The 13,689-nt window shown below is 44.9% G+C and overlaps 1 protein-coding gene across 5 annotated transcripts in view; it reads right to left on the bottom strand.

The window, feature by feature from the left end:
- EYA2 (EYA transcriptional coactivator and phosphatase 2) overlaps window positions 1-13,689 on the bottom strand; it is a 294,002-nt gene that overhangs the window by 167,196 nt on the left and 113,117 nt on the right. For all 5 annotated transcript variants that reach the window (NM_005244.5, NM_172110.4, XM_017027721.3 and 2 more), the window contains exon 5: window positions 5,352-5,468. In NM_005244.5, the coding sequence (NP_005235.3) occupies window positions 5,352-5,468 (117 nt within the window). The remainder of the gene's footprint in view (window positions 1-5,351; window positions 5,469-13,689) is intronic.

Here is a 13,689-nt window from a genome sequence, read left to right as displayed (position 1 = left end):
TGCCTTTTTTTTTTTTTTTTTTGAGATGGAGTCTCGCTTTGTCGCCTAGACTGGAGTGCAGTGGCGTGATCTCGGCTCACTGCAACCTCCACTACCCGGGTTCAAGCGATTCTCCTGCCTCAGCCTCCCAAGTAGCTGGAATTGCAGGTGTGTGCCACCACACCCGGCTAATTTTTGTATTTTAAGTAGAGATGGGGTTTTGCCATGTTGGCCAGGCTGGTCTTGAACTCCTGAGCTCAGATGATCCGCCCGCCTCAGCCTCCCAAAGGGCTGGGATTATAGGTATGAGCCACTGCACTTGGCCTGTTTTTAAGTCTCCCTACAACACAGAGTTCACTGGAAGGGGAGTTTATGTGGATGCAGACAGTCCCACAGTCTCAGATTAGTATTCCTCTTTTCTCTTACCCTGACCACTTACTAAAATTGAGAGTTCAGGAAATAGAAGCGAACTTGGAAAGAACATGGCCCATCAAACCTGAAGTGAGGCTAACAATGTCAATCATAATAACGATAATTAACGTTTAGAGAGCGTTAGTTTGTGCCAGGTGCGCTCTAAACACTTCACATACATTAACTCATTTAGTCATCATAGCACCCCACGAGTAAAGTACTCTTAGTGTCCCCATTTCATAGGGAAGGAAACTGGAGGACTGAGAAGTAACTGAGCTCAAGGTCACAGGGCTGGTTTGCAGCCGTATTTGGAGGTTAACTCAACCTGACTTCAGAGTCCCTGCTTTTAGTTGTTTTTAACTACCATGCTAAGGAAGGAATAACAGAGATAATAAAAAGAAAATCTAGCCTTTATGGATCTCATCTGTGGTGCCCATGAATCATGTTATTTAGTCTCCCAAAGCCTCATGTTGTCACCTCTCTCACTATGATACCAGTTTCACAGGTGAGGAAACTGAGGCACAGAGAAGTCCATGTGCTTCCCCAACTCATGCCATTGTGTGTGGGGTACTGCCAGGACTGACCACAGGCCAGGTCCAGAACTCTTAACAACTCTGTGGCACCAGAAACTTCTTATAACACACTCTGGAGATTTTTTTCCCCCTCTTTTTAATCTTTGTGGTTATTTCTGTGAATAGCAGTGTTTTACCAGAAGAAGCCAAAAAGAAAAAAAATCAAACCCATAAGAAACACACTTCAGCTATAAAAACCCCAGGGTGAACTTAAAATAAAGAAAATAAACAACTCTGCAAAGGCTGAACAAGAGCTGTGAACTTTTTTCTTTTACATTTATTGTATATTCCATGGAGGGGCAGTGTTATCCAAACAGATACAGATCTCAAACCAGGGCCTTACGGGGTGATGGCTGTGCTAAAGTTTTTGGAAGTTTATGAGATTAGCTAGAAGACCTAGTGGGAGGCATCCTGGCTTGTCTAAAGCTTGCTCTGTGATCTTCCGTAAGACACTCTGTTGCAGTGCCTCAGTTTACTCATCTGTAAAATGATGAGGTGAGCCCCAAGAGCATCCTTTTTTGCTTCTAAAAATTATATATTTTTTCTTTTTTTGAGACAGGGTCATGCTGTATTGCCCAGGCTGGAGTGCAGTGGGGTGATCATAGCTCACTGCAACCTTGAACTCCTGGGCTCAAGCAATCCTTCCACCTCAGCTTCCTGAGTAGCTGGAACTACAGGTGCACACCACCATGCCCAGCATTTTTTTTTTTTTTTTAAAGATAGGGTCTTGCTCTATTGCTCAGGCTGGAGTGCAGTGGCATGATCACGGCTTACTGCAGCATTGACCTCCCAGGCTGAAAAGTGATCCTCCTACCTCAACATATTGAGTAGCTGGGACTACAGGCATGCATCACCATGCCCAGATAATTTTTTTTTTTTTTGTAGAGATGGGTTTCACCAGGTTTCCCAGGCTGGTCTTGAACTCCTGGACTCAAGCAATAAATATACCTGCCTTGGTCTCCCAAAGTGCTGGGATTATGGGCCAAAATTATGGTTTAAATTCTTAGAAAGGAAAAAGACTCATGCTAGCTTCTCACCATGGGCCAATTTCACAAAATCAGCATTTTCAGGCCTAAAAGTTCATAAGCCTCAATCTTCTTTATTTTCTTCTTCCTCTGAGAAACTAAGCTCAACCAATGTCTTCCATTCTGAAATGCTCTCAGTAGTTCGAGAGTTTATTTCTCCTCTGGAACAACTCAGAAAAAAAAAAAGTTAATAGGAAGCACATGGGCATGGTGTGTGAGCGTTCTGTGTGTTTGTGTTTGAAAAAAATACTTAAGGAGGAATATGTCAGGCTTGCAAAATGCCTGGGCTGTCTCAAGAGCAGTTTATAGCCATTAGCATCAGACTGAAGGCAGTTAATTGGGACGAAGCCCAGCTGCTGCCGCTGCCCTTCTGTCATCTGGGCTGTGAGGAGGATAAGAAAATAACCTGGACGATTCCCATGGTAGGGCGAGAAGAGAGCTGGAGACGTTGGCTGGTGGGGATTGAGGTGGGGGGTGGGGCCCTAGGCTCACCCCTGAGAATCACCTTCTAGATGGATCTAAGAGAGTGTGAAGGGCAGGATGGCGTGAGGGTTATGTGCCTGGGCGACTGCCTGGCTCATTTCCCACTGCCATGGCCGTGTGACCTTGGGTAAGTGACTGAAACATTTTATGCCTCAGTTTCTCCACCTGTAAGATGAGGGCAGTGGCAGTGCTCATGTCACGGGGCTACTGGGGAGATTAAGCCGCATGTTTATGTGCAGACATTAGGACAGTTCCTGGAGTCCTGAAGGAGTCCAGGAAATCTCATCATTTAGAGGAAGTGGCACCAGAGAAACTGGAGTCTGAATCCCAGCTCTGAACACTTATTGGCTCTGCGGTTTCAGGCAAGTCACTTGCCCTCTCTGAGCCTCACTTTCACCATCTATGAAAGCAGGGCTTATGGTGCCCACCTCACGCGGTTGCTGTAAGAAGAAAGAATATTATTCTGCATATCCTGCTCTGGGGAGGATAGGATGAGGCTCCTCTGGAGTCCTTGAACACTGTGAGCCTTTTCCTGCCGCGGGGCCTTTGCTCTTGCGTTCCCGCTGCCTGTACGGCCCGGCCCAGCTCTGGCCCCTCCTGTGGCAGCCTCCTTTCCATCGGGAGGCCCCTGACCACCTGCTGAATGCCGATCACCACTCCTGGTCCATACCACTGCTCACGGTCCAGCATGCCACCATGTTTTTGTCTGTCACAGGCTTTATCAAAATCTATAATTATCTATCTACTTGTCAATTGATTACTGTCCATCTTTCTCCATGAGGAGATTGTCTTTGTGTGCTGCTGTGCCCTCAGTGCCTAGAAGGGTGCCAGGTGTCAAGCTGGTGCTCAACATACGGAATGAATGAATGAATGAATGAATGGGGGCCTCTCCTACATAACTTAGATCACTTATTGTGTGGCTGAGGGGGTGTCAAAATGGGATACGGGGACCGGGTCTCCATTTCAACCTCTGTGGCCTCAGAAGCCCTGAGGCAGTAAGTCCAGTTTCTATTTAAAGAGCTGGAAAAAAACTGGCTTGAGATGGACTCAAATACAAGTTGAAGTTCAGTACCTTCACACACCTCCTGTTATCAGGGCCGGTGCCATCATTCACTCCCCACTTGGAGAGATGGGTCTCAGGAGTTTACTCCCTTCAGTGGGCCTCAGAAAGGCCCGACTGGGGACACAGACGTGAGAGCAGAAGCAGAGGAGGCAGGAAAGTGCCGGGGTTACAGCGATGGGCTTTGCAGTGAGGCTGGGGGTTGGGATTCCACCAGGCCCCCAAGACATCTGACACAGTCCCTTTGCCATTATGCTTACAATAAAATCTAAAATCCTTGCCCTGGTGTTGGACAAATCAGTCATTCCTTCTATGCCTCAGTTTCCTCTTCTGTGAAATGGGAATAATACAGTACCGTTGCTTGAGAGCGTCATGAAGGTTGTATGAGAGAACCCACAGAGCATCACCTGGCACCTAGCATGTTTGGTCAAGGCTGGCTCATGGCATCACTGACAAACTTGGACACAGACCTTACCAGGAAGCTATTCTCAGGGCTGGGCATGAATGCTTATCACCTGCTTTCCCTACACACATACCTAAGATTATTTATTCTCCTTTCACAATTTTTTTTTCCTGAAATGCTGCCCTTGACAATCATTTTTATTACTTCCTTAATAAAAAATTAAAATAATAAAGATGAAGTGATAGTACTTCCAAGTAGTTGCTTTTAAAAGAAAAATACTATCAAAGCTGGGTACAGCAGCGCACAGCTGTGGTCCTAGATACTCAGGAGGCTGAGGTGGCAGAATCACTTGAGCCCAGTCTGGGCAACATAGCAAGACTCCATCTCAAAAAAAAGTACAATCACACATCAGCCCACCATCTTATCATTTTACCCTTTCAGACCCTTGATGGTAATTTTTAGCAGCTTATATAAAGGGAAACAGCAGAATGGGGATCCCCATAATTACAGCCACCAGCCCCCTGCTCCATGCATCAACTCCAGCATGCTCCCAAGGGGGCACCAGAACAGAGAAGGGTTCTTGGATGGTAAAAGAGTGGAGATGAGCATGGGAGAACCCAGTAAGCCAGTTCCTTATGGCAGGTGGGTGGAGGGTTACACAATGGAGTTCTTTCTTCCTTAAGGCCACCCTCTAGGGCTGCAGAGCCTTGATCCTCCTGCCTGGAATAACAGCTTCTTCACCCGACTGTCCAATATTTCCACCACCCGACATTTCTGAGTCTCTACAATAGACTTGCCTGTCCCATCACACTTAAAATACAAGCAAACTCCTTCCCATATCCCTCAAGGCCATGTGTGATTGCGCCTTGCTCTTTCTCCAAGATTCTCTCCTCCTACATGCCTTCTGACTTTGCTCCAGTCTCACTGGTCTCAGCTCTGTGCCTCCAATACATCCAGACATTTCCCTGCATGCACAGTTTGTACAGGCTGTTCCCTCTGCCTGGAATGCTCTTCCCTAAGATGTCTATGTGGCTGCTCTGCCTCACCCTTTGGGATTCTGCCCAATGTCATCTCTTCAAAGAGCCTTCCCTGGTGATTTGATCTAAAGTCACAAATCTCACCTTTCCTGACCTCCCAAGTGCTCATCACTCTTTATGCAAAGACCAGGTTTATTTGCCTTATTACATTCAACCCCTTCCCAAATCATCTGGCTTATTTGCCGACTTTATCGTTAGTCTCTCCCCACTGCCAGGTAACGACCATGAAAGGCAGATCTCGTATCTATTTTCTCCACTCCTCGAGATAGAGCCTGGCACATAGTAGGTGCTCAAAAAATCTGCTGAATGAATGAATGAATGGACACCCAACTTAGGTGGTCCTTAGAGATGGGCAGGAAGGGGCCACAGCGCCACACTGACCGTGCATCTGGTAGGTGTATGGGCTCTGTCCAGTGGGTGAGGTGCTGAAGCTGGAGCCATAGCTGAGGAATCCACTCTGGCCAGGGGAATGGTTCAAGCTGTCTTCTGTCTTGATGCCTTTGAAGGAAGAGGGGGAAAAAAAAGGACCAAGGACACATGATTAGGATGCGTCCTTGTCACCCACAAAAGAGCTACTGGGTCAAGACAGCATGCAATTTTATCAGCTTCCAAATGAGGAGTTGCAAACTGGTGGCTTGTCAGCCAAAGTGAGCCTATAGACATTTGACTTGGCCAGCATATTTTTAAGAAAAACTGAATTAGTTGATTTTGTTAAAAGTCAGGATATTTCATACAAAAAGCTGGACTTACGGCTTCTTTTTGAATGACAAGATGGTCTAGTAACACCATGTCTGCAACCCATGTGACCACAAGCTGCCCCTGTGGGCTCCCAATTCAGGTGTTTCCCAGGTCATGATAGATTCCATTCCATCTGCAGGACTTTGAGGCTGGTTTTAACGTGCTATTTTCTCATTGCAGTTGTGATTTGTTTTGGTACATCCTAGGACCCTATCAAAAGTGGGGAAGGGAAAGGCAGGCCAAGAAGGTCTCATATTTTGTACATGCCACCAGCTTCATGCTACCTGCCAGCTTGGTAGGTATGAAGGTCTCATATTTTGTACATGCCACCGTGAGCTTCATGCTACCTGCCAGCTTGGTAGGTATGCAAGCCTGCAGCCCACTACTCCACTGAGTAGTGCTGTGTATGGCTTAAATGTCCATTAGGATTTTGGGCAAAGGTGTGAAATGAACCACCCTTCCTCTGCAAAGATGATATCACTTAACTGTAAGACACTCTCCAATCTCACGGGGGGACCTGCTAATCCCAAGGCCACAGTTACAAATCTGCCTTCTGCTTCAGCAAAACTCGGCATGCTTACCTAAAGCATAGGTACTAATTCCATGAACAACTGGCTGAGAAAGGGACTGTGTTGAGGAGGAGAGGCTAACCATCATCAGCTCATTCACTTAATTTTTACTGAAAATGTAATGAATGCATTGTAGAAAATTCCAATAGTACAAAAGGCATAAAGCAAAGAGTCTCTTCCTATCCCTGACCTCAAACCCCAGCTCTTCTGCCTATAGGCAACCACGATTACCAGCTTTATGGAACACAATTCACTTCCAGACAGGTTCTGTGCATATGCAAACTTATGTATATAATATATATATGTAACGTATATATCTATTCCATCTTTTAAAATATAAACAGGAGTATTCTATAAATTCTGTTCTTCATTTTCTTCTTTTTCTTTTACTGCTTCACAATATGTGGTAATGATTATTCTTCATGAGCTTATAAAGTTCTTCCTTATTCTGTATTGATGGCTGTGTGACATTCTAATGTGTGGTTTCCTCATCATTTAACCAGTTTCCTATTCATTAACTTTTGGGTGGTTTTGAGATTTTATGACTGTAATTTAAGCTGCAGCAAATACACACATAACACACACACATGCAACAAATGTGTATATATACACACATATATACATGCAGAAAATATATTTAACATATAGATGTACCTATATGCATATACATATGTATTTGCTGCAGCTTATAGTCATCACACCACACACACACACACACACACACACACACACACACACACACATTTTGTGCACATGTGCAAGTCTATCTTTTAGGTAAATTCCCAGTAGCTGGAATCACTGAGTCCAGGGCAAGAACATCTTAAATCTTCTTGGATGTTGCTGAATGGTGCTCCCTAGATTGTAGGTGACATTCTCTCCAGTCACTGAGTGAGTCCTGCTTCTCCACAACCACATCAACTGTTATCAAACATTGCTTATCTCTGTCTATCTTATGGGTATAGAACAGTATCTCATTGCTGTTTAAAATTTCATTTCTTTCAAGAACATTTCTAGTTCTGCTGATGGTTTTTGTATTGAAATTTCCTCCTTCTTATCCTGTCAACCCCGTAAAATAAGAGAATGCTTAGTAAGGTAAAAACAGATAGATTGTGAGTCAGGAAATCTGGGCTGGAGTCCTAGATGGTTTGCTTCATTGACTGGTGACCTGGAAAGTTTCTCCTGCAACCCCAGGTTGGAGGCCTCCTTTCTTGTGAAATGATGGGTTGTTAGGAAATTAAAGTAAGAGGAAAGAATGAACATATAAAGGCTCTGAATGAAGTAATTAAAGAACACATCTCTTTTATCCTCACATCAATCCCACAAAACAGGCTATATATTACTTCCTTCATTTTAAAGATGTGGGAATTGAGATTGCCAATCCATTGGACTGGGGTCTAGCAATTGGCGGATAACTCTGAAGTCAAGGTTCCTTACCTTGATGCTTCTCAATAACAGGTGTGAAGGGGTTTTATGCCATCGATGGTGCCAGACTTTAGTAACAACAATGATGGCAGCAACAAGCAATATTTATACAGCACCTTCTTTTTGCTCAGTCCACTAGGAGTCGTTAACGTTGCATTGGGTACAGTCTGCCTCACTGTGCACCTAAAGTAAAATCTAAACTCTGCAGTGACCCCCAAGGCCCTGCATGGGCTCTGCCCACCCCTCCGACCTCACTGCCTTTCCTGGGCTCCTTCGCTCCCTCTGCCCAAGCCATATGCTCAGACACTCTGTTTTAGTGACGGGATGGAAAGCCAGAATCGGAAATATCACTGCTTGTTCAGCCAGTTCCCTGATGATGAACTCCAGGTTGATTCCAGTTTTTACTATCACAATCCAAGATGAAATGTACATACTTCCTCAAGCAATGTCAGAGTGTTTGTCTTGGTTGGATACAAGACAAAAGTTGCTGCCTCTAAGGGTACCTACATTGTCCATTTTAAATAGATGATACAGACAAACTGCAACCATGTCTTTGGACTCAAAGCCTTTGCATATGTTGCTTCCTCTGCCTGGAATCCACACCTCCCTCTTCTCTATCAGGCAAATGTTGTTTCCCTAGAAAGGTCTTCTATGACCTAAGTCAGCCCCGAGTAGCATGCAGTTCTCCTGCCTGGCACTCAACCCCATTCACTGTTGAACCTCTGCTCTCTGTTTAGGCTGGAGGCTCCAGGAGGGCGGGGCTGGTTCCCTCTTGTACCCTGCAGTCTCCCCATATGTGGCTCCCTGTCTTGCACATAGTAGGTGCTCAAAAATTGTCTGGTAAATGAATGACTATGAAAGAAAAGAAAATAAAGTTTTTCATCTCTTCTTTTGTTTGCTGAAGGGGTTGGATCATAAAATTCTAATCCATGAGAAAGAGAAGAGAATATGAAAATGGCAAAGGCGCACGAGGGCCTTCGTCCCCTAAGTCTGTTGTCCAGACTGTGGTCCATGCATCAGTTACAAGTTCAGAATGAGAAAGTCAGACACTGAGAAGTAAACATCCTGAAACTTTTGCAGCAACTTGGCATTGTTCTGACATCTAAGGCCATTTCTCCAGACTTGTATTTAGTATGTTTTTAAAACATTTTAATTTGGCCCAGTACGGTGGCTCACGCCTGTAATCCCAGCACTTTGGGAGGCTGAGGTGGGTGGATCACTTGAGGTCAGGAGTTCGAGATCAGCCTGGCTAACATGGCGAAACCCTGTCTCTACAAAAAATACAAAAATTAACTGGGTGTGGTGGTGCACACCTCTAATCCCAGCTACTCAGGAAGCTGAGGCATGAGAATTGCTTGAAACTAGAAGGTGGAGGTTGCAGTGAGCCAAGATCATGCCAATGCACTCCAGCCTGGGCTAAAGAGTGAGACTTCATCTCAAATAAATAAGTAAATAAAAATTTTAATTTGATTTTTCTGGTAATTCATTTTTACTAAAATATTAGTCCACAGTGGAATGGCAATTAAAAAGCAAAAACCCAAAAACTGGTCTTTTAAACCAGATAGAGAAACACTGCTCTAAGAGATTATGTTCAAAGGAAATCTGGTCACGGTTTGGCCTGGGGACAGACTGATCTCATCAGACCTGCTACTCCGCAGGCATCTCTGATAAGTATCTTCACAGCAAAGAGAAAGAGGCCTCCGAAAAGGTGCTCGTGAACTATCTGCAAGTTCCACTGGCTTCCACTCATGGAAGCACCAAAGTGAGCATGTGGATTTCAGAGAGGGTGTCAACAACAGACAGCCAATAAGCATTCATTCACTCATTCACAACTATTAGCTCAGCACCTGCAACAGGTCAGGAGATACAGATCTTGATGCTACAGATACTGTAGCGGTTGGAGCTTATATGCTAGTGGGAGGAGAATGACAGCAGAAAAACAAGTAAAAACACACAGCAGAGGAGAAGCATACAAAATACTTTTTGGGTAACACAAGAGACAACATGATTGGCTCCCTGACTCCCTGGCACACTCAGCGGCACACACTTTTCCCTGCTATCTTATGAACCTCACACTAACACAATTCTCCAAACATGATTAAATTTTTTGGACTCCATTTAGAGTCTTAAGGTGCTAAAAAGAAGAATGAAGCAGGGAAGGAGGTAGCAAAGTTGGTTAAGGGGAGTTGGGATTTGAAATTTCAAACAGAGTGATCCTGAAAGGTCCCTTGGAGGAGGAGGAAGAGGTCCCAGGGAGGAAGAGACATTTGAACAAAGACCTGAAGGAAGCAAAGGAGCAAGACTTGTGGACACCCGAAGGAATACCTGTCCAGGCAGAGGGAAGGCATGTGCAAAGGTCATCAGGCAGGAGTGTACTTGGTATGTTGGATGAACTAACAGCAAGGAGGCCAGTGAGGCTGGAGTGGGGTAAGGGTTGGGGAGAGGGTGAGTGATGAGGTCAGAAAGATCATCAAGGTGGGGACAGGGCAAAGATACTGCAGTGGAAAACCTTTGGCTTTGATCCTGAGAGGGGCCCTGGAGGGATCTGAGCAGAGGAGAGACAGGAGATGGTTCAAGTTTAAAATATCAACAGCCCCCTGAGCAGGTGCTCCGTGATGTGAATTTGGATCAGCCCATGGCACATGGCACAGCCCAGAGTACTCGTTTCCTGTCCTGGCTCTGTGGTATCACTGAGGCAGGTGCCCTCTGCTTTCCAAGCCTCAGTTTCCTCGTGACTACAATGAGGGTTTTGGACCAAATTAGTGCTTCCCCATCTTCAATGTTGTGCACCACTTGCTTGGTTTTCCCATACCCCAGCACCATCCATATAATGATTCATTTCATGTTATTTTTAAACATCAGGCCAGGCATGGTGGCTCATGTCTGCAATCCCAGCACTTTGGGATGCTGAGGCAGGCAGATCATTTGAGGCCAGGAGTTCAAGATCAGCCTGGGAAACATGGTGAAACCCTGTCTCTACTAAAAATACAAAAAATTAGCTGGGTGTGGTGGTGCACATATGTAATCCCAGCTATTCAGGAGGCTGAAGCAGGAGAATCACTTGAACGTGGGAGGCAGAGGTTGCAGTGAGCCGAGATCATGCCACTGCACTCCAACCTGGGAGACACAGCAAGACTACATCTCAAAAAAAAAAAAAAAATCAACTCAATTTTAAAACTATTTGCTTGCCTTAAGCAATAATGACCAAGAAATCACAGGTTCCATATTTTATATATATTATATTTATATTTGTACACATACACATATATATATGTAGATATAAATGCATATTAAAATAAATATGTAACTACTTTTTTTTTTGAGACAGGATTTCACTCTGTCACCCAGGCTGGAGTGCAGTGGCATGCTCACAGTTCACTGCAGCCTCGACCTCCCAGGCTCAAGTGATCCTCCCACCTCAGCCTCTCTAGTAGCTGGGAGCACGTGTGTGCCACCACGCCCAGTAGTTCTTGAGACTCAGCACCCGGAGGCTTTGAAGCTTTTATCTTCAGCCTCCTGGAACCTGAGCCCACCATGCCTGAAGAAACCCAGAGGAAGGGCCACATGAGAGAGAGGCCCCACTGGTGCCATCTAGGCAGCCCCAGCCCACCTGCTGCGAGCACAGCAGCATGAGAGGGACTGTGGGAGACCAGCAGCAGGCCCAACTGGCCAGCCCACAGAAATAATACGTCAGTGTTATTTTAAGCCACTAAGTTCTGGAGTGGCTTTTTACAAAGCCAGAGACAATGAAAATTCTTTGCCATTATCCAGGATAGTGAAGAATGCATATACCCCATGACCCAGAAATTCCTCTCATAGGTTTCCACCCCTGAGAAATGCACAAAGATGCTGATTGCAGCATCCTATGTAATGAGAAACAAACAAAGCCCTAAAAGACTGTCTAAAGAATGGGTAAGTAAGTTATGGTGCCATCAAGTAGTGGAATATTATACAGCAGTGAAAATGAATGAACTACAGCTACTTGTATGAACAGGGATACATTTTACAGACACAATGTTGGGTGGAAAAAGCAAGTTGCAAAAGAATGTGTACTAAAAGATGCAATGTAGGTAAAGTTTTAAAACATGCTTAAAATACTCTACATTAAAGGTCAGCAAACTCCAGCCCATAGGCCAAATGTCATCTGTTGTTCATTTTTGTAAATAAAGTTTTTTGAGACATAGACAGCCCATTCGTTTATGCTTTGTCTATGGCTGCTTTCATGCTACAATGGCAGAGTTGAGTGATTGAGATAGAGACTGTGTGGTCTGCTAAGACAAAAATATTTACTATGTGGCTCTTTATAGAAAAAGTTTGTTGATCTCTTCTACATAAAAAAATGCAGGGGAATGATAAACATGAAACTTGGGGGCACAGGAATCTTTGAGAGGAAAGGAAAGCCACCTCCCTTTATTTTTTAAATTGAATGGTCAGTTCATAGGTGTCATAGTATTACTCTATTATGTATGTCTTTAATATTGCATAATAAATTGAGAAAAAAATACTCAATACACTAACTGTCCTTGTCTCTAGTTTGCTCAATTGTGTTATTTCCTGCAGGTATTTAAACAAAGTAAATAGCACTATTTGCCAAGGAGCAATGTAAAAAGTTTCCTGACAAGATTCAACAAGGTTTGTCCAGACGATGAGCAAACACAGCTTGCTCAGGCACAGGCAGATGTAAAGGGAAACGGCTTTTCATCCACCTGTTATTGTTCAGTGACATGGACATTCTGTGTGTGTGTATGTGTGTGTGCGTGCACGCGTGTGTGTGTGGCAGCCTGGCTTCTACTGGGACAGGTGACATTTGTTGAGCATTTCTCTTGGGGTGGGCCCTGGTGAGGAAGCCCTTCATCTAGATCAGGGTCATGGACCAAATCTGGTCCACTGCCTGTTTGTGTAAATAAAGTTTTATTGGAACACAGACATACCCATTCGTTTACATTCAGTCTGGCTACTTTCACGCCACAATGGCAGAGCTGAGTAGTTGTAATAAAGACCATATGGATCACAAAGTAGAAAGTATTTACCACCTGGGCCTTTACAGAAGAAGATAGCCAACCCCTGGTGTAGATGATCTCATTTAATCCTCCCAGCAATCATGAGAGGGGTAGACTTAGTATTACTCCCATTGTATGAATGTGAAAACAGAGGTTTAGGGAGGGGAGGCTGCTCCCTCAGGGTCTTGCAGCCTGCAACAGGCAAGGGTGGGATGTGAATCTGGGCAGCAGAATTCCAGGACATGTGCTCTTATCATCTACTCTGTATCATCCAGGAGCAGACGCTCCAAAAGTAACTGAGACAGTAAAATAACTTTGCACCAAATTGATTTCCATCTGATGCCATGTTTTGTCTGGGAACAGGGCTAGTTTTCTCTTTTATGTGAAAAAGAATATGGCTTCATTTTTCTTGGCTGTCAGCCAAGCGGGGTAACTTATGTGTGATTGTATTCTAAGCCTTCTAGCACAGCAGGGGAAAAAAGTTAGAAAAGATGCCCACACCTGTTGGCCAAGGTCTGTCATAGGTAATCCCCCGGGATTTACAGAATGCACAGCCAGGCGTCGGAGCCCCGTGGGTGAGGGCTCGGGGTCCAGAGCCAGGCTGCCTGGGCTTAATTCCACCTCTGCCACCAACCAGCTGGGTGACCTTGGGTAAGTTATTTAACCTCTCTGAGTCTCTGTTTCTTTATCGCTCAAGGGAGGATAATGAGATGACCTTCCTCGTAGGGTTGAGGTGGGGATTAAAGGAATTAGTGGAAATAAACCAATGTGAGTGACAGGAAGTCAACGATGGTGACTATTACTAAGCCTGGACTGATGCCTCGACAGGACCTGTCAATTCTGCCTCTAGAGTTGCTCTTGATTCTGTCTACATGTGTCTGTCCGCTGCCATGGCCTCGCCCCAGGCCTCCAACATTTCCTGCTCCAGGCTTCATCCGTCTCCCAACGGGCCTTCCTGCTTCTCCTCCTGATCCCCTCTGAGCCAGCCTC

This window comes from Homo sapiens, chromosome 20 (assembly GCF_000001405.40).
Source record: "Homo sapiens chromosome 20, GRCh38.p14 Primary Assembly".
Classification (NCBI taxonomy): domain Eukaryota; kingdom Metazoa; phylum Chordata; class Mammalia; order Primates; family Hominidae; genus Homo; species Homo sapiens.
This window is presented reverse-complemented; position numbering and strand designations above follow the sequence as displayed.